This window comes from Homo sapiens, chromosome X, assembly GCF_000001405.40.
Source record: "Homo sapiens chromosome X, GRCh38.p14 Primary Assembly".
Lineage (NCBI taxonomy): Eukaryota > Metazoa > Chordata > Mammalia > Primates > Hominidae > Homo > Homo sapiens.
Window position 1 is genome coordinate 32213579 of NC_000023.11, and position 25738 is coordinate 32239316.

Sequence of the window (25738 nt, forward strand, 5' to 3'; positions counted from 1 at the left end):
CAGCTCTTTTCTGAAAGAATTTTTCCTTGGACATCTAGAATGATTTTTCTTATCTCATCTATAGATTGAGAAAAAATAGACTAAATAAAATGGTCTTTTTAAAATTATCCAGTTGGCCAGGCATGGTGGCTCACGTCTGCAATCCCAGCACTTTGGGAGGCTGAGACAGGCAGACCACCTGAGGTCGGAGATCTAGACCAGCCTGACCAACATGGTGAAATCTCGTCTCTACTAAAAATACAAAAATTAGCCAGGTGTGGGGGTGGGCACCTGTAATCCCAGCTACTCGGGAGGCTAAGGCAGGAGAATTGCTTGAAGCCTGGAGGCAGAGGTTGCAGTGAGCTGAGATCATGCCACTCCAGCCTGGGTGACAAAAGCAAAATTCCATCTCAAAAAAAAAAAAGTATCCAATTGAGGGGAAAAGTTTTGATAAAATGTTCATCAGTTTCAACTAAACCACACTGTCAAGAAATGAGGACCATTAGACATTCTCTGAAAATTTTAAATTATGATATATTCACAAAATTGTGTAATGTTAATGTATTAAAAGATCAAATTACATCAAAATAGTTTGTTTTGGACTTGTTTTCAAGTTGGAGTAAAGGAGGCTGAACTTAATCTCCTGCCTGAAACACCTGAAACACTTAAAAAAAAAAAAAAAAAAAAAAAGACAAAATATATGCTACAACGGTTTTCAACACATTGAACATCAGACATTGAAGGACAGTGATCCTTGCCAGGAGGCTTTTGTTAAAAGATGAAGCTGAGAGTTTCAGCAGCCCAAGGCTGACTAGTGATCACAGGGCAAAATACCAGAGAGGTGATATATACACAGAGGAAATTTTGGAGATTTGTAGAAAGCTTTATTTTATTCTTCATCTGAGTCTTGATCAGTTCATGTATGCAAGAAAACCACTCAAAGCTAAGGAAAGAACTTCACAAAAGAATTAAAGGAAACAATCACCAGAGCTCACACGTGGCTAGTAATACCACCTGTTCCCACGAGCCCCAGTGAAAAATTTTATCATTCACAGGACATCAGAGAGAGTACTCAGAAGGGTTTTGCCTCAGTAGTGGGGAAAAAGTAGCCCTAAACTTACACTGTTCTGGTCATAACAAAGCATAAAAGGAAGATTCTCAAAAGATCAAATTGTTTCCAAGTGAATTAACTGTGTTCCAGAACGAGGTTTGAGAATATTTATTTCAATATATTTGAATTTATTTGAAGTATCAAGCACGCGCTAAGTTAAAATTCACAATGTCTGGCATATAGTCAAAAATTACCAGTCATCCAAAGAAGCAGTTAAACAACACACTTAATGAGGAGAAAAATAAATCAATTTAAATTAACCCAGAATAGACACAGATGATAAAATTAGTAGAGAAGAATATTCTAACAGTTATTATATCTGTATTCCATATAGTCAAGAAAGTAAAGACTGAACATGTTGAGTAGACACATGGAAGAAATAAAAAGACCCAACTTTTACTTCTAAGAGATGAAAATGTCTGATGTTAAAAATATATACTACATGGGATTAGCCATAGATTAGACTTTGAAAAAGATTAGTCAATTTGACAATAGAGATTATATAAAACAAATTACAGAGAAAAGAGAGACCAAACAGACAATGAACATAACATCAGTGAGTAGTGGGGCACTTTAAGGAGCCTAATAAATGTACAATTGGAGTTCCATTTTTTTTAAAAAAATGGTTGAAAGGTTTCTAAATTTGATGAAATGTTAAATGCACAGATTCAAGAGCTTAACTGACTTCAAGAACAAGAAACATGAAGAAAACTACACCAAGTTACATCAAAACAAATTGCTTCATCGTAAAAGTACTCCCTAGTTAACCTTCTACATACAAATCTCCATTTTACAATGGCTTTCCAAGAAACCCAGCCTGAAATATGTAGCAAAATTCATACTGAACAACTATCCTCCAAAGAGTAGAATGGAGGTACTTTTACAAATTTCTATGTTACTTGATTTTTTTCACAATAAGTACTAATTTGATAATAAAATATAAATTGAAATATATAACTACCTTGGGTTGGATATCATTGAAAATGGCAAGTGGTTTCTATATCTACCCCAAAACATTTTATATAACTCTAATATGTTTCTGCCTCTCAGGCAGAAACCCCATTATGCTACATTAGCCCAAAATTCACTTCAGTGCTATTTTTAAAATGTATCTTCTATATTAAAGCAGATTGGGAATCCATACATTTCCTCTCTATACAAATGCCAACGCTGGTGTGCATGCAAGTTTGATTGATACACATATAATTACACAAGGTTTTAAAAATATTTTCTGTGTTTAAATAGCTTATCATATAAATAGGTGTTTAAATGCTTAACTCCTTAATATTAAAGGGCATATTTACTATGGAAACATATTTGAGAATGAAGACTTGTAAAGTCAAATGTGATACTGCTTTTGTGAATCCAGCATTTTGAAATATCTAAAGTATTTAATAAACTACTGGGTGTTTTTTGCCCTCATCTGTCTTAATCAGTATTTTCTGGCATTAAAAATTGGCTACAATTCAAATCCACTTGATTGACTATTGCAACATGAACAATTTGAGCTAAAAAAGATGCAAAAATAATTAAGTCTTCGTGTAATAAACACAGTGTTTCTTATGCCTAAACTATGTAATTTAGCAACCAAATTATATCCTGGACAATCTAATCTATCTTTACCTGCATATTCAAAGGACACCACAAGTTGAAATTAAACTACACACTGGTTATCATCCATATGCTGTTTCCCTATTAACATAAACCATAAAATGTCAATAAGTACCAACAATTAACTCTGCATTGTTTTGGCCTCTGGACTATTTCAGAAGGCATTTTGTCAATAGAATATATAGAAATATTGCTACAGCACTACAAAATTGTCTTTAGGAAAACAGAACTGTAATTTTATCATGATGGATATTTCTAGCAACTTCATTTTAGCTAAGTATGCCACAAGTTCTCCTTCTGGAAAGGTTCCAACATAAAGCCGAAATACACACTGCCCCAAAGCCACAAAACACCTTGCTGTTACGATGCTTCCCTCTGTCACAGATTCAATTATATTTTGCAGTTTATCAGATAAACCAGCTCCGTCCAGGCAAACTCTCTCATCCTGACACAAAAAGTCCATAGCACCGTGCTCTAATATTATCATTATGATAATTTTCTTTCTAGTAATATAATGATGACAACAACAGTCAAAAGTAATTTCCATCACCCTTCAGAACCTGATCTTTAAGAAGTTAAAGAGTCCAGATGTGCTGAAGATAAATACAATTTCGAAAAAACAAATCAAAGACTTACCTTAAGATACCATTTGTATTTAGCATGTTCCCAATTCTCAGGAATTTGTGTCTTTCTGAGAAACTGTTCAGCTTCTGTTAGCCACTGATTAAATATCTTTATATCATAATGAAAACGCCGCCATTTCTCAACAGATCTGTCAAATCGCCTGCAGGTAAAAGCATATGGATCAAGAAAAATAGATGGATTATGTAAAACAGATTATAGAGATATAGCGTATATTTTTTGGTTATACTGACAAAGATATCACTCTGATAGTTTCCTGCATTTGCAGAGTTTAGTTTCAAGTAACAAATAAAAATTAATATACACACCTAGCATGTACACACAACATTTTAAAAAAATACTCAATATAAAAGCTGATTTTAAATGGAAGGTTGCAATTTTTCCCTTTAAAATGAATATATTTATTGATTAAAAGAAAGATAAAGCAACTATTTTGGACTATTGGCATTTTCTTTCCTAAAAATATATTTTTTTAATTCTAGAAATTTACAAATATCTTAACATTGTAATAAATTATTTGGAAGCAATATATTCCCTTTCAAAATATTTTTGGATAAAAATTACTTCATAAATTCTATCACTTTCAATATTATTCTTGATCCAAAACTGCCTGTTCATCAACTGAAAGGAGTAATAAGTTCTAGTGTTCTATTGCATAGTAATATGAACAAAGTTACCAATATTGTGCTGTATATTTCAAAATAGTGAAAGAGAATTTTAAATTTTCTCACCACAGAGAAATTATAAATGTTTGAGGCTATGGATCTGCCAAGAAACCTGATTTGATCATTACACAATGAAACATTACACTGAAACGTCACACTGTACCCCATAAATACATATAGTTATTACAAATAAAACTTTAAAAATATAACTAAAATACCATTATCACACCAATAAATCAATAATTCGTCACTATCATTAAAGATTCTGTCAATATTTAAAATAAGATGACAGATATAATTCATATTGTAGGCTCACATGTAAGCATTAAATAACCGATATACTAAACTATGCGATGCCTTCTTTAATCCTTCTTATTTTATTGTAGTCACTAAAATTTTAGATTGGAATACTGCAGGAACTTAGTACAAGTCAAATGTGTTAATACTACACATGGAAAGAATATTAGGAAACAAGCATTTGGTCACCTTCCAGTCATAAAAGAGACTGAGGCAGAAATAATATGAACCAGGGCTGTATGTTTACCTAAGACAGTTGCACATAAGAATCAACTGGGGCATTTAAAACACAGCAACAACAATAACCAAACAGTGATCCTGGGGCTCCATTCCAGACCAACTTAATCAGTATTTCTGGAGGTTGGACACTGACGCTGTTATTTTTCAAAGCATCCAGGTGATTTCAATGTACAGTCAAGGTGAAAAACACTGCCGTAAAGTAAGATTTGAAATCTTACTGGGCTTACAGTCTACCAGATTTCCTGGGGCCTGCCCAAGCAAGCATTTGTGAGCACAAAACCAATAGCCATCCTACAGATTACCGGCTATGGTGCTGCCTCAGAGTACAGGAATCTGTCAAGCTTTTCTGAACTCTATTCTTAAGAAGCAATGGATCATACTTTTGAATACCATGATATCTTTTCAGTCCTCTACCTTCATTCAGGAATTTAAAGTAACACTAGAAGTTTTAAATTGCTACATCTGCCTACTGATGTCCTGGGCAGAGAAAGGAATTAACATTTATTAAACAGTTACTAATAGCCAGGCACCGGGCTCTGTGCTTTTATAGTGCCAGACACATCATTTCATTGACACCTACAATAACCCTGCAGCATAACAATTATTATTCCCATTTTCCATTGGAGAAAACAGAGGCCAAGTAATTTGCCAAAAGGTGAAAATGGTATTAAATAGTAGAGAGAGGCTTCTAACCCAAATATCTCTTGTTTCAATGGCACTTTTCTACCAGTGCACATGCTCTCTTGTGAAATTATTTTTCCAAGATGAAGCTTCACTTTATCAGTTAAACAATTAAAAGTGATAGTTCTAGAGGTTTTTTCCCCTTATTTTTATTAACTACCCAAAATTTAATAATGTATCTACATGTACATTGCACTCATTGTATTTAATGAATAATTATATGCTTAACCTTTAAAATCTTGTAAAACAGACAGCATTTTGGTAGCATAAAAAAGGCAACCGAAGGTAGCCGAAGAGGTATTCTCTAACTGTAGTTAGTGAAAAATAAGAATGTTGCCTTTGATGATTTATGGTATTCTAGAGTTATTCAGATACAATATATCCTTCCACAACAAAATGATCTTGCCAATGTTTTTGCATGTTTACTAATAATTTAGCATTCATATATTTTCAATGGTATATAACACACAATAAATGACCTATGAATATATCGTAAGTTTATTCCCTTTAAAAATGAATTGCACATTGCATATGTTACATGCATTTGCATCACTGGAGTCAAAGAGTTGCTTTTGAATGAGAATCTAAAAATCTATGCAACATAGTTAGCATTGTTCCATACTGGTGAGACTATATTTTCTTATATAATTTTTCTATATTTTTCAATTTGTCTACAATGTGCTTTTCATATTGAGAGTCAGAAAAATGAAATAATTTAAAATTTTTTTTTAAATGGCAGTCTCATATGCAAATGACTGCTAACTCCAACCCTCCTCCTGCTACCACAGTCTGAGAAACAGTCAGCAGCTAACCAGAGCACAGAGAAGTACCAGTTGGTCACGACTTACCACTCCACCTTTGTAGCAACCATCAGTCTCCACTCTTGGTTTGCTGTTTTTCCTACCCAATCACTTGAACTATACTTTTGCCAACACTTTTAGCTACTAGGAGGTGACTGTTTCTCTGACATACTGCTATAAATGCCCATTCTTCATTTCAGGATCCTGTACACCTCAAAGATTTTCGATTTCAAACCTGTTGCACAGACTTGTTTCTCAATCACTCATCATATTGGTAATTGCCATCCTCTATCAAATTCAACAAATCCCCCTCTCACCCTGAATTCTTTTCCTTTTTACAAGTTATCTACAAGTTTCTACAAGTTATCTTTCCTTTACATTCTCCCAAGAGAAGAAAACCGTAAGGGTTCATACACTTGCTCATGGTATCCGTAGCTCTGTAAGACAGAGCTGGAGGTAGGAAGAGAAGGGGAACAGGCCTTCCACTTACACCATTGTTCCAGGCCCACAAGAGGGAGGCAGGATGGACTTTCTGCCCGACCCCTGCTACTGTCTTAGGACTTGTGAATTTGCATATCGGTAGCATATTTCTGAAATGCCCTTCTTCCCTTTTTCTCTCGTCTCCTCGTATAATCCAAACTTTTGCATCCTCAAGGACCTAATAAAAATGACTTATGCTGTCACTTTATAAATATATAAATATGAAGTATTTATTACAGCATGCAACTGCTAAACCTTTGAAAACTGTAAAGTTGATTTAATTTTATTATTGAAATTACTGTTGAAATAAGTAACTATTCAAACAAAATATTAAAGAATAAAATCATGGGCTTTACATGTGATGACACTTAATGTGAGTAATAATACTTTAGACTCCATTTCAAGCCTCACATAAAATTTTAAAATACACTTTTCAGTATTTAATAGGTGCTGTTAATAGCACAGTCTAAATCTATTCTTGAATTTACTACGTAAAATTACATTTTTTATCATGACTACTTTTAAACTCTTTTCCACCAAGGAAAATTCCAAATGAAAAAAATATATATATATTTTTTCTGGTTTTACAAAGTTAGATTTACCAATTTAATATCTAATTAGTCACTGTGCTCCCTAAATTTGTCTCGCTCCATTAATTGGGCTGCCCATGAATGAAGCAAATGGTAACAATGAGAAACAAGTAGAGACATCAAAAATAGCATTCAGGGAAACAAATATAATTTTTGCCTTCTGTAATATTTCTAGGAAAAAAAGTTTTTTTTCTTGGCAGTAAGAAGAAATATGGATGGAACTTAACAAAGGGCAAAAAAATGTCAGTATAAACATAAGGATAATAAATCAAGTGATTTTAGAATTTTGCAAATATTAAAATTCTCATTCACCGTGCAACCGGTATTTAAAATTACACTGCTGCTTCATTTATGTGCAGCATAACTTATTTTCTGATGTTCTAAATCAAGTTAGTCAGATTATTCTCAAGCATAAATTACATTTAGGGAGTAATTCGGTACTCTGGGGCATACTTTAACACTTTCGGGCCATTAAGGTGGTAGTAAATTCCATGAAATAGATTTAAATAAATAACACCCTAGTAGACTTCTGACATATCCATTGTTGCTTTATACTTCGGTCTGGAAACTCAGCATTGGACTGCTGATTATTTCATCCCATCCCACATATTTCATCTTTGATTAGGTGAGGAGGAGGGACCTGAGCTCGTGTCTCATGGTCCAAACTGTATGTGCGAATAAATAAGTTAGTTATCTGCCCCAAATCATAGTACCTTGCTACTTCTCCCCAACCCTCAACTTCCCAAGTAATACAAATATTTAGTAAAAGATAAGTATACTACCAATTATGAAGTACTTACCTCCTAAGGTTAATTGTGGGAGCTCAATAAATGAGTATATATAAATTTCTTTTTTTACATCTTTTATTTTATTAATGTTTTTAAAAAATTCAAATTCAATAGTCTTTGGAATACAAGTGATTTTTGGTTACATGAATGAATTGTATAGAAGTAAAATCAGATATTTTAGTGCACGTGTCACCCAAGTAGTGTACATTACACCCCAAAGGTAATTTTTTATCCCTCACTACCTTCCCACTCTGCCCCTTCTGAGTCTTCAAAGTCCATTCTACCACTCTGTCTGCCTTTGTGTACCTACAGCGTAGCTCCCACTTATAAGTGAGAACATACAGTATTTGGTTTTCCATTCCTGAATTACTTCACTTAGAATAATGGCATCCAGCTCCATCAAAGTTGCTGCAAAAGACATTATTTCATTATTTTCTACGGCTGAGTAGTATTGCATGGTATGTGGCTGAATAGTATTTCACGGTATATGAAAATATATGCCACATTTTCTTTATCCACTCATTGGTCGGCTGGCACTTAGGATGGTTCCATATCTTTGCAACTGTGAATTGTGCTGCTATAAACATATGCGTGCAAGTGTCTTTTTGATATAATGAATTCTCTTCCTCTAGGTACATAATCGGTAGTGAGATTTCCAGATCAAATGTTAGATCTACTTTTAGTTCTTTAAGAAATCTTCATACTGTTTTCCATGTAGGTTGTACTAATTTACAATCACCAGCAGTGTACAAATGTTCCGTTTTCATCACATTCACAACAAAATCTATTCAAAACCTCTGGGATACAGCAAAAGCAAGGCTAAGAGGAAATTTTCTAGCACCAAATGCCTACATCAAAGAGCCTGAAAGTTCACAGTCTGACTACCTAACATCACACCTGAAGGAACTAGAGAATCAACAACAAAGCCAACACAAAGCTCCAGAAGAAAAGAAATAACAAAGATCAGAGCAGAACTAAATGAAATTGAAACAAAAATATAAAAGATCAATGAAACAAAATGTTGATTCTTTGAAAAGATAAGTAAAATTGATAGACCAGTAGTTAGATTAACCAAGAAAAAAAGAGAGAAGATTCAAGTAAGCTCAGTTACAAATGAAAATGCAAATTTCTTAAAACAGCATCTGGCAGTGTTCCACAAGTATGAGTAGTAGTAGTTGTTGTCATTATTAGTGTACCTCTATTTGGCTTAAGACTTTAAATGCAAATAAAATGACCAACATAGAATCTGAGCCATGCTAGTGTCTCTCTGGTGGGGAATAGACCCACCCATAAATTAGAAATTCCTTCTTGAGAAATTACCTTCTTTAATTTCAGGACTTAAAGTATTTAAATAGGCAGTGTCATTAGCCTGCTGATGAAATCTGAATCATTATTTCAGCATAGAATCCATGGTTGGCCATGCCTATCCCTGAGTACATTACATATATTTACTTTTTAAATGCTTTTTGTTGTGAAACATAATATAGGGAACCATTCATATAAACCCATGGTGACCATCACCCAGACCAAGAAATAAAACTTCCAGCAGCCAAATGGAACACTCTATATCATAGTTTCAAGATTAATCTACCTCTTTGCTTATTAGTTGTTGATTAATTTCTCACTGTATGATTGTCTTAGTCTGTTTGTGCTGTTATAACAAAATGCCTGAGACTGGGTAATTTACAAATAATACCAATGTATTCACTCACAGTTCTGGAGGCTGGGAAGTCCAAGATAAAGGCTCTGGCATTTGGTGTCTGGTGAGGGCCTTCCTGCTGTATCTTCACAAGGCAGAAGGTAGAAGGGCAAGAGAGCAAGCTGACTGAATGCTGCGTGAAGCCTTGTTTATAAGGGTCTTATTTTTATTAACAAAGAAGGAGCCCTCATGGCCTAATCACCACTTAAACACCCTACCTCTTAGTACTAGCACATTATCGACACCTGAATTTGGAAAGAGACACATTCAAACTATAGCAAATTTTACTATTAATAAATACTGAAGTAGTTTTGGTTTGGGGCTATTACTATGCTGCTATGACATTCCCAAACATGTCTCCTGGAATATGAACATATGCATTTCTGTAGAGTGTATATATAGAAGTGAAATTGGTGGGCTATAGGTTATGCAGATCTTTGAATTTACTAAATAGTGCCAAATGGATTTCACTCCAAGAAGCAGTAGTGTAATTTTACACTTCTATTTACAATTCACAGACCAAGTAACATTGTGTGAAATTTCTAATTGCTGTATATTCTCACCACCACATGGAATTGTCAGACTTATAAATTTCAATGATTCTGGTTGGTAAGCAGTGATATTTCATTTTAGTTTTAATTTGCATGGCCTGGACCATTAATGGGACTTAGAAATTCTTTATATATTTATTGGCCGTTTGGATTTCTTATTTTGTAAAGATGACAAAAATCTTAACGTTACTATGATGCATAAAACACATTAGTTATTTACTATAAAGTGATCACCTTAAAAATGCCATCCAGGTCAAGATACAGAATATTGCCAGCAGGCCACAAGCCCTTTTTGTGCCATGGTTCACTTTTCAAGAACTTTTCCCATTTTTCTATTGGATTATCTGTTCTTTTCTGAAAGATTTGTAGGAATTCTTTATAATTATGAATACACACATTTCATCCATTATGTGTGTATTCCAAATAATTTATCCTACTCTGTGGGTTTCATTTTTACTCTCTCAGTGCTGTCTTTTGATGTATAGATGTTATTAATATACAAGGTAGTCCACTTTATTATTTTTATTCATGATTAGTGCTTCATCATTTGTGTAAGCAATTTTTTCTTACCCTATATTAATTAACATATTCTCCTCTATTTTACTGTAAAAGCTTTATCAATTTGTTTTTTTCTCATGTCAGTTTTTAGTCACCTGGGATTTTATTTTTGTATATAGTTTGAAACAGAATATATACTTTTTTCCTAAGCAGGAGACTCCATTTTAATTTTTTAGGTAAAACATGTGCACTGTACAAGATAATGCATGAACAGCAGAAAAATAAAAGTGTGTGCAGTGAAAAGCATCTGTCCCAATTTTGATCTGCTCACTCTGGTAGTTCTGCTCTCACTGTTAATAAAAATTTTATAATTTTAAATATTTATAGAACAAGGCAAAGAAATAAACACAGTGATATAAAATGATAGTCTCCTCATTCAGTTTTACTGCTTTCAATATATTCAATGCTGATATTTTTACAACTCTGGATTGACATTATACTTTGTAACACTCTATTTTATTGATCCCTAATCCTCCCTAGGTTGTGAGCCTTGTTCTCAGGCTTCAAATACGTTTGGAGTCATACTTTGATTTTAAGTTTCTCACAGTGTTTATAATACTTGAGCTTAGGAACTCATTCTCATGCCTTTATCCCCTCTCTTCGCTGTTGAAATTCTACACATTTTTTCCCTTATTTCTCATAACTTCACTTATTGCATTCTGAATAAACAGCAAAGATAAATTTTCTTTGACCTGTACCACCAACATCAACACCTAAAGTGACCTCTTTCCCATTATAGGGGACTCTTCTACTGTGCTTAATGGAGACTAGGATGTGTTCCCCTCAAAGGAATTCTAGTTTTTATAGGTAAACTTGTTAAATGTCTTGTATGGACACTGCCTTATGAAACCTCATTTGCTTTCAAAGCTTCAACTAACATCTACAGCAGGTATTGGCAAACTTTATAGATAAAGATCTTGAGAACAAATATTTCAGGCTTTGTGGGCCGTATGGTTTTTGTTACAACTACTCAACTCTGCCTTGAAGTTCAAAAAAAAGGTATACATGGAGCATAAGCAAATGGATATGGCTGGGATTCAATACTACTTTACAAAAACAAGTGGTGGGTGTAATTGGCCCATGGGCAGGAGATTATTGACTCTTAATCTAGGCTGATTATGACATAGCTCCAAATTTCAGCCCTTATCTGAGGTATATAGCCAACTGCTACTTGGACTATCCTCATCAGAACATTTGATGTGAACCTCAAAGATGTTATGTCAACAATTCCTTATTTTCCCATGCAAGTCTTTGATATGATTTGGATCTGTGTCCCCACCCAAATCTCATATTAAATTGTAATCCCCAATGTTGGAGGTGGGGCCTGGTGAGAGGTGACTGGATCATCAGGGTGGTTTCTCACGGTTTAATACCATCCTCTTGGTACTGTCCTCATGAAAATGAGTGAGTTCTCCAAGATCTGGTTGTTTAAAAGTAGGTAGCCACCCACCCCCACCACCAACTCTCTCTCTCTGCTTTCGCCATGTGAAATGCCTACACCTGCTCTGCCTTCCACCATGAGTAAAAGCTCCCTGAGGCCTCCCCAGAAACAGATGTTGCTATGCTTCCTGTAGAGCCTGCAGAATCGTCAGCCAATTAAACCTCTTTACTTTATAAACACCCAGTCTCAGGTATTTCTTTATAGCAATGCAAGAATGGCCTAATCCAGTCCTTAGTTTTAATTTTAGTCAATGATTTCCAAGCTAGAAATCTTGAGACCATCGTTTACTTCTCGACTTCTTTCTTATCATGCTTGTCTCTATATTTTATCAATTCTAAACCAGAAATGACTCTTTAATTTAGCCTCTTCTCTCTAGCCCCACTGTCGTGGCCTTTCTTGAAAACTCCTAATAACTTTTCCTCAGCATATTCCAACTCATCTCTCCCTATTTTCGGTTTCTCAGCGCTCTCTAACAGACAACCTCACTTCCTACTTTGGTCCCTATACAAACATTCACATAGCCCACCATGTATACTGTACTGAAAACATAGAAAATCTGAAAATTTTCATAACAACCAAAATTCCTTTTTTACTGTGGGCCTTTTGCTGTATTTTAGAATGACACCCTATCTAAAATGTCACTATTCCATAAGGCTTCTCTCCCTTGGAATTAGTTACTTCATAAGACAAGCTTCCACAGCTTTGTGAAAACCTCTATTAACATACTACTTCATGTTCTAATTATGTATTTACAAGGCTGTTTGTTCCAGTACACTATGTACCTCTTAGAATAAGGAAGATGTTTTATGCACCTTTGAATTCCTGGTACTAAGCGCTGTTCCTGGTACATGATAAATGTTGAATACATTTTAATAACTGAATGAATGAATAAAAAAGTCCATGAGTAATTTCACAAACCCCTTATATCTTCCATTTAAGAGCCATGAATGCTTGGATACACTATTTTACCTCTGAGTCTCAGTTATCTCACACATAAACCCAGAATAATACTGCCTACCTCATTCAGCTTTTTCAGGAGGATGAAAGTACACTCCAAGTTATAAATAGCAATAAAATTTAGTATTATCGATATTAATACAGTTAGTAATCTATAAATTTTTAATACCGACACAGAATTTAGAATAAAAAAATCAATCTACATCAGAAATCATTTTCCAAATATATCAGCAATCACATAATTGTTGTTTTCATTAATAAAAGACACAAAATGATGATTCTTAAAGATAAATAATTTAGCAAGTTCAACACCATCCTAAAAAGAATACACTTTGCACAAATTTACTGAGACCTAATTTAAATATGAGGATGCACATTTAGGGACTGTGACTCTTTTAAGGTGAGTGTTTTAAACCAAAACAATATTGATAAAATTCACCCTAAAGAAGTCAATAGCATTATTTAAAAACAGATGATTGGATAAAGAATATGTGGAGATATATCTCCACATATTCTTTTATTTATATGTGTGTGAATGAATGTATTCCATTGTGTAGTATTCCATTGTGTGTCTATCCTAGCTTCTAAGTCTAAGCATATATATATATATATATATATATATATATATATATATATATATATATGTACACACACACAAATTGCGTATGGAATAAACAATTTCATATACACAATGAAAAATACTACAAAGCCATAGTAAAGAATGAAATCATGTCTTTTGCAGCAACATGGATGGAACTGGTGGTCATCTTAAGTGGAATAACTCAAAAACAGAAAGTCAAATATTGCATGTTCTCACTTACAAGTGGAAGCTAAATAATGTGTACACATGCGCACAGAGTGTGGAATAATAGACACTGGAGACTCAGAAGGGCGAGAGGGTGGGATGGGGGCGAAGGATAGGAAATTGCTTAATGGAGAAAAGGTACATCATTTGCATGATGGGTACACAAAAAACCAGACTTCGCCACTCTGCAATATATCCATGTAACAAAAATGTACTTGTATACCTTAAATTTATACAAACAAAAAAATAATAAAATTACTTAAATGTTGATTGCATTATTTGTAAGAACTCACAAACAATTCAGGTTATCACTAAGACTATTAAAATAAATCTTAAAATTCTTTAGATTTCTAAAGTGTTGTTTAAACTTTGCTGGACTCTTATTGGGCTTAAATCTCTAGACAGGCAGATCTGTGGAGGAGGACGCTGTAACAGAAAAGCCTCATCAATAAGCTGAAATTGCTTTAGATAAACGAGGACTTTTTGATCTGAAAGTGCACACAAAAATACATATACTTTAATATGTATATAAGTATACACACATATCAGAAACTTGGCCTGAGTGATTTTTAGGGGGCTAAGGGGACCTTAATTAAGCACTCTATTTTGGCTTAGGGGAAAACACCGTAAATATCCTTGAGATAAATTGATAAGTACTCAAATAGTTAGAGATTCATTTCTTTACCTATGCTTGGTATCTGATTATTTAACTCCTTAGTAATAACAAAGAAAGCAAAAGTGTCCCTGATATTACTATTGTCTAGAACTCCGCAAATTTTCTTTGCCCTTCTCTTTTATAAATCTCTTTGACACAATATAATGTTCCAGCAGACAACTGACAATGTAAAGGTTGTGATATTTGAAAATTCCATCATGATGGAAAAATATTCAGGGTGTACTATTCCTGCACTGCTTCTGAAAAAATATGTAGGATTATGCTAATATTAACCTAAAATTATGCAATTTCAATGTCTTGATTTGGCACAATTAGCACCCTGTAAAAATACCCAAAGTAGCAGAAATAGTTTGCTATTAGTGATCTGTAATGCTACTTTTAATACCAAGACCTTTTGGAGAAATCAGCTACAGAAACTGACTCAGCAGGCTAAGTTAAATAATTTAAATTTCTTAATAAGTTTAAACTGACATACTCTCTGAGGATTTGATATATTCAAGGGTCTCCTTTATAAAATGTGAGCATTTAATTGAGTCTTAATTTACATATCCTCTACTATATAGTCCACATGAAGAGGATATGGTGTTAGACATCCTAGCTTCCAAGTCTTAGCTTTCATTTGTTGGCTAGAGGGGATATTTGAAATAATGATGCCTTTCTCTTCATTCAAACACAAAACATATATAATAGGTGTAGGAACTTTTACCCAGAAATAGGAGCAAAAGCAACCACAAATATATGCTATGCACTCTAATTAAAACTTCAGATTAAGTACATGATTAAATATACTCCACAGCACCTTGGGGTAGGTACTATCATTTTATTCATTTTGCAAATGAGAAAACTGAGACTTTGGGAGTCTAACTTGTATGTTTCTAATCAGGAATGCAAGACAATAACATAGCTGAATAAGGATAGCTTATAGTGTATGTTTTTTGTTTCTTGTTTTTTTTAAGTGTCATTTGAATCAGTAAACACTGTATTAGCTTGTGAAAGAGAAAAAATCCTACTTCTCCTATAATATACTATCCTCTTGGAAATAAATCATGTTGTTATTGGATAGTTACACTCACGTGTTTCTGATCATGAAATTTATATTTCAAAGGAATGGATTAATAAATAACCTAACCTCCTTTCTAAGCAGCATTTGCTCAAAATAACATATTTCTAGACACTTCTCATTATATATCATGACAAGTACCTCATACTCTCAAATCAAAATGGAATTTCTCTTGATTTTTCAGAAACATCCTTGGTGGTTCTTCATCTTTTGGTTTATTTTTGTTTATATTATTCCTTTTCTTAAAGTATCGTTGCTTATATTGTCCTAAATTTTTCTATACCTTCCTCCATGAGAACCTTTCTGATACTACCAATTAGAAGTAATCCCTCCCCTCTTTAATAACACTCTTTTTATTAGGGTGATTATTTTTCTTGATTCTTTTTTGTAACCACCTTAATGAAGTATGATTGACATACAAAAAGCTGTACATATTTTACATATATATATATATATCTCAAAGAGTTTCATCATATATATATATATATATATATATATATATATATATATATATATAAAATCAAAGAGTTTGGGAATAAGTATACACCCACAAAACCATCGCCACCATGAAGGCTATAAACATATCTGTCATCACTCAAAATTTCCTCTTGTCCCCTTTATTATTGTTGTTACTGGTGGTAAGAACACAACATAAGATTTCTTAGGAAATTTTAAGTGTCCGAAACAGCATTATTAGCTATAGGCACTATGCTGTATAATAGATCTCCAGAATTTTATCTTCCATAACTGAAACTTTGTAGTCTTTAACACTCCTTTTGTCCTGCTTTAAAGAATTTATTCTACTCTAATTTACATTAGTGTCATTACGTCTAAACCACACTAAATGCTCCCTAAGGGTAGAAACTATATTGAATCACCATTTTTACCTCCTATAACAGGTGCCAAAAAATAATGTTGCACTTAATTTTTGCAGATTCAAATTTATCCATAAGTAATTTTAATACAAATAATTGGTATCCACTTCAAATGAGTATACCTTCTGAAAAGAAACATGGTTTTTTTTGTTTTGTTTTGTTTTGTTTTGTTATTTTTGAGACGGAGTCTCGCTCTGTCAACCAGGCTGGAGTGCAGCGGCGCGATCTCGGCTCACTACAAGCTCTGCCTCCCAGGTTCACGCCTTTCTCCCGCCTCAGCTTCCCGAGTAGCTGGGACTACAGGCGCCCGCCACCACGCCCGGCTAATTTTTTGTATTTTTTAGTAGAGACGGGGTTTCACCTTGTTGGCCAGGACGGTCTCGATCTCCTGACCTCGTGATCCTTCTGCCTCGGCCTCCCAAAGTGCTGGGATTACAGGCGTGAGCCACCGCGCCCGGCCAAAAACATGTTCTTTAGAACTCCCAAAGTATCATCTTTTAGTATGAAGATTTTTTTTGAAATTAAGAACAAGTAGTAAAACAATCAGGTTGTACAGCATACAAAATTTGAAGACAAGCAAACGTGAGTTTGAAATTCTGTTTTATTGCCTAACAGTGCTTTGTAAACTTCAGCAAGTGATTTAATTTCCTGATTTCAGAGTTCTCATTTGTGAAATAGGCATAATATATATTTCACAGGGTTGTTATAAGAATTAAAAATAATACAGTGAAGTTTTCTGAGCCCATAGTAAGTGCTCAATGGTGGCAATAACAATAATCATAATATCCAAATATATATACAGTATATAATTTCTGTTATTTAGAAAATATTAAGTTATCAAATACATGTACACATATATGAATATTTTCAATATCTATGAATGAGGAAAATATGTATAACTGATTTTATACATTTCCTCATTGGCACATGAAAGTTGTATATCTTCAGCTAAATTTAGTCTTCTTGCCCTTTAAGGCTCAAACATTTTACTATGTGTAAATGATTTTACTGCTATTGTAATTGGGCAAACCAAAACAATTACAGTAAATGGAATCATATGTCTTTGTTTCGTTCTCAACGAGGGAGGAACAGTACACTTAACACAGCTACAAAAAAATTTAACTTACTTTTTTCTGCTAAAGGAAAATGAGATGAAAAAGCCATTTTATTTTAAAACGAATGGCAGATTTTGATTTCGAGGCAAGTAAGGCAATTTCGTGTTATCTTCCCAAAAGTATGGTGAGAATACGAATTCCAAATATGCGGAGTATGAATAAAAAATAGAAAGGTATGACATTTTTCTTCTTAGGCAGCCAAAATGATATTTCTTCCATAGGCTGCTGCGGCAAATCAAAATACACCACTTGAGATCAGCTTACGAAAATGTCCCTTTTACATGGGACTCATTTTCTTTGGCCATAAAAAATTAAAGATTAAGATCTCTGTCTATCTTTGAATATATATGGCATGAGACCACACTTACAAATACATAAATAAAACTGAAACAATTCACTTTTTACTTAGCTTTATTCTAAACGGGAAATTCTATTTTCTCTCTTACTACTATTCTACTTTCTCTATTTTCTCTCACTGGCACCATTACCTTCCACAAGACTGTTTTTCCTGTGAAGGTAGTTATAATTAACAAGAGCCTATACACACATAAAAGTTTTCATTTACCATATTAGTGAACATATCAAGCTATCATTTTTCTTAATGTTTACTAAGTTTTACTTTATTGAAACCAATCTCAAAGGTTGCAGCATTTAAAAAAGTGACATTTATAATTCTCAATTATAAAATAATTTTCCAAAGAAAGAAAAAAATTCCAATTTTACTTTTATAAGTTGGAATTTACTATATATACACACAAATATAGTATGATTTGTGTGTGTTTGCAACACACAAATATAGTATTATTGAAAAAGGAGGAATTTAGATGTTCCAAGTGGCATTAACAGAAAATTAGTTCTGAAATTATGCCAGATTAGCATTTCAACTAGAAATTATGCCAGATTAGCATTTCAACTAGAAATAGCAAGGAAAAACTTCTAGGCTATAAGAGGTCATAAGTAGTAAAGAAAATAAGAACTATTTTCAGGAGACATGACCTATTCTGCCGGGAGTTGCACCCATAAGGCAGAGGGAACGGGTCCAAAATATTTTCTTATAAAAATAGAGATACAGTAATTAATTTCAAGGCAGATTTCAGTTTATCTATTTTTGATAAATTTGTTAAATCAATTAAATATGCCAGGGGCCCCTTATTAGGAGTATGGCTGTAAGGCTAATTTTAGTTTGAATCTACTGACACCATAAACATTAAGAGGATTTCACCCCCACTCCTACCCACTCCCTAGCCTGTATGTAACTGTGGGAGCAGGGCAGTTCCAGGATGACACCATGTTAGAAAGACAACTTCACTGCAAATTTACTGAACTGAAATCTGACCCAAGTATAGCAGCTCTAAGTCAAAGAAAATGTCATCACATCTGACTTACTACCTTATGAGTAAATATCATCACAAAAGTCGGGCCCCTTTTGCTATTTTATATTCTATCTTATTAAAACACAGGTGCACGAGGGAAATGTTCTTGGCATAAAACTACTACATTCATTAAATTTTTTCTTTCCCACACCGGAAGGCACATGTCTAAACCTGTAGGGGTTGCTTTATTATTTAATTAGAGCAGATTCTTTTCTATCATTTTAGGTGTTTCATCTAAAGTTTGATTAACATCAGTATATGCTGTGCTCTCAGGCAAGTAAATATAGCTGCCGTAGAAAGAGAAATAAGCAGAAGCAACATTTTAAAAAATAAAGAATAACATGAACATGGAAAGAAAAAGAACCTTTAAGAAATAAAATATCCACAAAGCTCACTAGAAATGCTTCCTAAACGTGTATGAAGCGTATGTGTTTGTACATTTTATTTCACCACTGATTCATTTACTCAATCTTTTGATAAACATTTATTGAGCGCTTAGTCCTGAGGCTAGCAGTGTGTTGAATTCGGAAGGTGTAAAGCTGAAAAAGATACTATCTCTATCAATGGGCAATTGACAGTTTAGTTGCACAGTATTTTAAGGAGGGTATGAACTGAAGTTGTAGCACATGCTGTACTTGCTCCATGCACTTCCCCTTGCCTTTCCATTTCAAAATACACTGGTTTGACTTCCAAATGCCAGCATTTGGATTTCATTACCTATGGAATCTTTCTGGTTGCAGAGGTCTGATGCTGATGTTACTGGGGTGGGGAGCATATTTTTCAACCAGTGGCATGGAAGGAATGGCCCAAGGGCTAGTTGGGCAAGATGTACTAGATCAACATTATGAAGGTTCATGAATATCAAAGTTTTTGAGTTCATTTATGCAGAAGTAGTTTATTGCAAAAGAGTACCACACAAAATAAATAGCTGCAGATCTTTCACAATACAATAAATTAAAAAAACTTCTTGGAGGGGGAGAATATATAGAGCATTCCCAATCCACTTCCTGGTACAATTTCTTTTTCTTTTATTTATTTATTTATTTATTTATTTATTTATTTATTTATTTATTTATTGAGACGGAGCTTCGCTCTTGTTGCCCCAGCTGGAGTGCAATGGTGTGATCTTCTCTCACCACAACCTATGCCTCCAGGGTGGAAGAGATTCTCTTGCCTTAGCCTCCTGAGTAGCTGGGGTTACAGGCATGCGCCACCATGCCTGGCTAATTTTGTATTTTAAGTAGAGAGGGTTTCTCCATGTTGCTCAGTCTGGTCTCGAACTCCCGACCTCAGGTGATCCGCCCACCTTGGTCTCTCAAAGTGCTGGGATTACAGGCATGAGTCACCACACCCAGCCCGGTACAATTTCTTAGGCTTCATTTTGTGCCAAAATTGTATATATATGTAAGCTATACTTCACCATGTTTTCCATTAACCCTACAACTGCGATTTCGGCAGCTTCATGCTTCTCAAGAGCCATGGTATGGGTCACAGTAAAACTGGCTGGTCCACCAAATAGACAGCAGGGACGGCAGTGGTGAATAGTCCCATGACCACGAGAGACCAGAAAGAATTAGTTGTCTATAGCTACTCTTGTCTGTGAGATTATAGTTCATTTTCGCCTTGAAAGGAAGGTTTTAGTTATGTTGGGTCAGGAAAAGACAGATGGGTTATTATTTATTGCCTATCAGTTTTAACCACGTGCAAATGAACGTTATGCAAGATGAGAGCATAGGAGAAGCTAGAAGTCTAATCAGTTCTTGAAGAAGGAAAGTGAAATTGTGACATTTGACATTTAAAAATATAATTTTGTAAGCTATAAAGAAGGGGGTGGTGAGAAGTTAGAATAGTGGTTTGCAAACTTGCTGTACAATGGAGTCATCCAAGGATCTTAAAAAAAAAATACACCAGAGATCTGATTCAACTGATTTGGGACATGGCCAGGGCATCAGAATTTTCACCCAATATTTTAACATAACAAATTTCAAAAATGCAATAACATTTTTAAAAATTACAAGTGATATCTATATATCTAGATTCCACCATGAACATTTTACTATACTCGTTTTGATCACATATCTTTTCCTTCCTCCGATCCATCCATCAATCAATCATATTTTTGATGCATATCCAGGTAAACTGCTGACATCAGTATCATTCACCTTAAATACCTCAATATGGATATCACTGAATAGAATTCATAAGGTTTCTTTATTATTATGTTATTATTTACTGTATTTGGTGTCCTCTTTACCTTATGGCCAATTCAAGTAATAACTCTGCAAGGTAGTTATTACTTAGAAGGAAAAAAAGATTCAGAGACATTAAGTCATCTTTTAATGTTCACATGGGAAGTAAAAGGTAGAGTTGGATTCAAATCCAGCTTTCACTTATCCCATAAAACAGTGGTCCCTGACCCTTTTGGCACCAGGAACTGATTTTGTGGAAGACAATTTTTCCGTGGACCGGGTTGGAGGATGGTTTCCATATGATTCAAGTGCATTACAGTTATTGCACACATTATTTATATTATTATCACATTATAATATATAATGAAATAATTATACAACTCACCATAATGTAGATTCAGTGGGAGCCTTGAGCTTCCTTTCCTGCAGCTAGATGGTCCCATCTGGGGGGTGATGGGAGACAGTGACAGATCATGCAGCATTAGATTCTCATAAGGAGCATGCAACCTAGATCCCTTGCATGAGTAGTTCACAATAGGGTTTGTGCTCCTATGGGAATTTAATGTGGCTGCTGATCTGACAGGAGGTGGAGCTCAGGCAGAAATGGAGTGATGAGGAGCAGCTGTAAATACAGATGAAGCTTCCTTCCCTAGCCCGCTGCTGCTCACCTACTGCTTTGCGAATCGGGTCCCTAACAGGCAACGGATTGGTACGGGTCTGTGGCTCTGGGGTTGAGGTACCCTGCCATAAAATACTATATTTTTTTCATTTTTCCAAATGTCTCTAATGCTATGAGGGTAGAAGTGGAAAGGAGTCGAATTAGATATTTAATTTGAAGTCTACCCATTACAATTTTGGAAGGTTAGAGGCCAAAAGGGGGTGTATCTTGTTTTATTTTTTCAACTTTTTCTAACATGACAACTGTTGAAAAATAAGTATCATGTACAAAAGGTAAATAAAAGTGGCCTTCACTTTGTTTTCATTTGGAGTATTTATTCATCTTATAATGCCTTAACATGGATTTTTAACTTAATGAAATCGCCCTTAAATTTGTCATTAACAGACTATTGTTTTAGTTTTAGTGTTTTTTAACTATGAAAATATTGTCATTGTATTAAAAAATAAGAATTTCCAAGTTACAAAATGACAGTGAAAAAAACCAGCCATACCATTCCACCCTCACATAACAGCTATCAGGATGAAGAATAATTTTTCTCTTTATCATTTATTAGTTCTCTAACCTAATTTTTTAAGGAATTCATTTAAAATCATGGTAAAATAAAATGAAAATATAACTAATAAGATAGTATTTGAGGTGATAGGATTTCCTCCTCAGCAATGAAAATCTTACATAATCATTTAAAGACCGGTGAAGTGCTGAAAATCAGACAAAATTACAATGTGAAAATCATCAAGAGGAAACAAGTCTATTTTAAAGGAATGCCAATTAGACTGACAACTTACCGTTCAACAGAAAATATGGAAGCCTGAGAACAATCATGCTATCTTCAATGTGATTAACTGGAATGCTGTTTGGTAGGACATGCCATCCTCAGTTTAACTAGATTATTGCTAAATTACACTCTAAATTGGTTGTACCAACTTAAATTTCTACAAGAATGAGAGTTTGTGACCTTTCACAATCTTATTTTATTTTTTACTTGTTCCAGTCCGATGGGAGTACGTTATCTCACTTAGTACGATATGGTTTGGCAGTGTCCCCACCCAAATCTCATCTTGAATTCCTACATGTTGTGGGAAGGACCTCGTGGGAGGTAATTGAATCATGGGGGCAGGTCCTTCCCATGCTGTTCTCGTGATAGTAAATTAGTCTCATGAGATCTGATGGTTTTATAAAGGGGACTTTCTTTGCCTTCTGCCATTCATGTAAGATGTGACTTGCTCCTCCTTGCCTTCTGCCAAGATTGTGAGGCCTCCCCAGCTGTGTGGAACTGTAAGTCCATTAAATCCTTTTTCCTGTATAAATGACCCAGTCTCATGTATGTCTTTATCAGCAGCATGAAAACCGACTAATATGAAGTAATTTTTCCAATAATAAATGAGAGTTAGCATCTATTCATAAGTGTATTTGACATACAGATGTTCTGTGAACTGTCTATTATTTTTTAAACTTTAAAAATATTTTCCTGTTAGGTTATTTTTATTTTGTTCTATTGATAGGTAAATATTTTTCTTAAATTATGACATAAATCCTTTATTGTTTTAGTATTGCAAATATACTATCTGAGCCTATGTCTTTTCTTTGTTTATGAAGTCTTTGCATTGTACAGGTTTTTAATTAAAATGATCAAATATATGTCTTTTTCTTTACAATTTTTGCTTTGTGCTGTTGCTTAAGGGACACCTCTTTTGCCCTACATGCCCCAAAATATTTTTATATATTTTAATGCTTTGCCTTTCATGTTTAGGCAATCCATCAATTTACCATTTTTATGTTTATGTACAGTGTGAGATAGGGATCTAATTCTTATGTTTAATAAAATTTTAAATGGTACTTCTGTCTGTCATACATGTCATATATTATACTCTTACACAATAAGAATACCACCTCTCAATACATTCGAATACATTAGATTTTTTTTTTCTTGGTAACAAAATTCCTGGAGCACTATTTTCTTCTCCAATCTGTACAGGTTTCTCTCTACAACTGTTATACAGCTGTTGTTACAGGATCTCCTCCACCATCTTTCTGGCACCACTTTGCATCTTCCTCCCACGTTGGGTTCTCTGTTTTCCGGATCCTAGGCTTTGCAGGTAATACTAATGCTCCAATATTTTCCTAATTCTCTTACCTCTCTTAAAAATATTAGTGATTATAATCCCCTGTCCCCTCAGAGTTAGGCATGACCACGTGACTTCCTTTGGATGATGAAGTGAAATGAAAATGACATATATCACTCCTACATAGAGGCATGTAAGAGTCAGTTTAAAATTTTCCACGCATTTTTGACTGACATGGTGAACGCTAAAGCTTCTTATTGTTACGGTAGAATGATAGAATACTAGAGACTGAATCAGCTTAGATTCCTGAGTGACTACAATGATCAGAACCCTTGACTGACTTGTGTTGGATATGTTGCAAAGATACAAAATCAACCTTTGTGTTTCTAGCCACTAATATTTTGGAATTGCTTATTATTGCAGCATAACAAGGCGAATCATGCCTAAAACACTCTCCTTCTGATCTCCAATCACAACTAAACATTCTTTGTCTTTCTTGGTTTCTTTCTTCACTTGGTAGAGTATATTTTTGAAAATAGATTTCTGGGGAAAAAAGGTTTAGGGGAGTACATAAGGCTATCTCTGAAAATTATTTTCTCCGCACAATTTATAGTTTATCAGGGTGTACAATTTATATATTGTTGAATAACAAGTCATTCCAAAATTTAGCAGCTTAAAAACAAAAATGTTTATTATTTGGCAGTTTCTGAAGGTCAAGAATCTGAGAGTGGCTTAGCAGGGTGGGACTGGCATAGCTTATTTTATGAGGTTGTAGTTAAGCTGTTGTCTATGCTTGCAGCCTCTCGAGATTTGTCTGGTGTTAAATGATGCACTTCTAAGCTCATTCTTGTGGCTCTTTGCAGGAGGCCTTAGTTTCTCAGCATACGTGCATCTCCATAGGGCTGCTCATGACATGTGTTCCCACAGAAGAAGCAATGCATGAGAGAGAGAGAGAGAGAGAGAGAGAGAGAAAGAGAGACACAGAGAGAGATAGGCGTGGATGGAGAACACAAGACATAAACCACAGTCTTTCTACAACCTACACTTGGAAATGACATATCATCACAAAAGAGTCACTGAATCTAGTCCACACTCAATGACAGGGACATTTAGCTGTAACTCTTGAATAGAAGAGCATCACAGAATTTGTGAACATAATTTCATATAGGATATGAAATCAAAGCCAAAGTTAATTATTCCTAGAAGTTTAAAGGAAGTGTTCCTTTCTGCTATTTTCCATGGCTATTGCTGAAAAGTCCAAAGCCATTCTGATTTCTGATCTGTGAACTTCTCTTTGTCCTTGTTTTTGTAAAAATTTATGATGATGAGCCTTGGTGTAGATTTTTAGCTCATTTGCTGTGCTGGGCATTTAGTAAGCCCTTTAAACCTGGACACTCATTTTCTTCAGTTCTAAGAAAACTGATGTTGTCACTTCTTTGATAATTTTCTCTCCACAGTTGCCTCTCTTCTGTTTTATTTTTAACATCTATTATTTGAATGTTGGATTACATAGAACAAGGTTTCTAAACATAAACACTATTGACACTTTGAAATGAGTAATTCTTGGTTGTGGATGGCTGCATGGTGCATTCCTCTTGCGTCACTCTTCACAAGAGGCCAGTAGTACATCCTTTCCTTATTTGTGACAACGAAAAAGGTCTCCGTACATTGTCAAACGTCCTCTGCAGGACAAAATCACCTCTATTTGTGAAACACTTACCTAGAATGATCTTCTAAGATTCTTATACTCTCCCATTTTCCATGCTTTTGGCTATTTATACTGCTTTATGAGATATTTCTTCAAATTTATCTT

At 34.4% G+C, this 25738-nt stretch overlaps 1 protein-coding gene across 17 annotated transcripts in view; it reads right to left on the minus strand.

Annotated features, from left to right (window-relative positions):
- The window catches only part of DMD (dystrophin), a 2220167-nt gene that overhangs the window by 1094357 nt on the left and 1100072 nt on the right, over window positions 1-25738 (minus strand). For all 17 annotated transcript variants that reach the window (XM_006724469.4, NM_000109.4, XM_011545467.2 and 14 more), the window contains 1 exon segment: window positions 3338-3485. In XM_006724469.4, coding sequence (XP_006724532.1) covers window positions 3338-3485 — 148 coding nt within the window.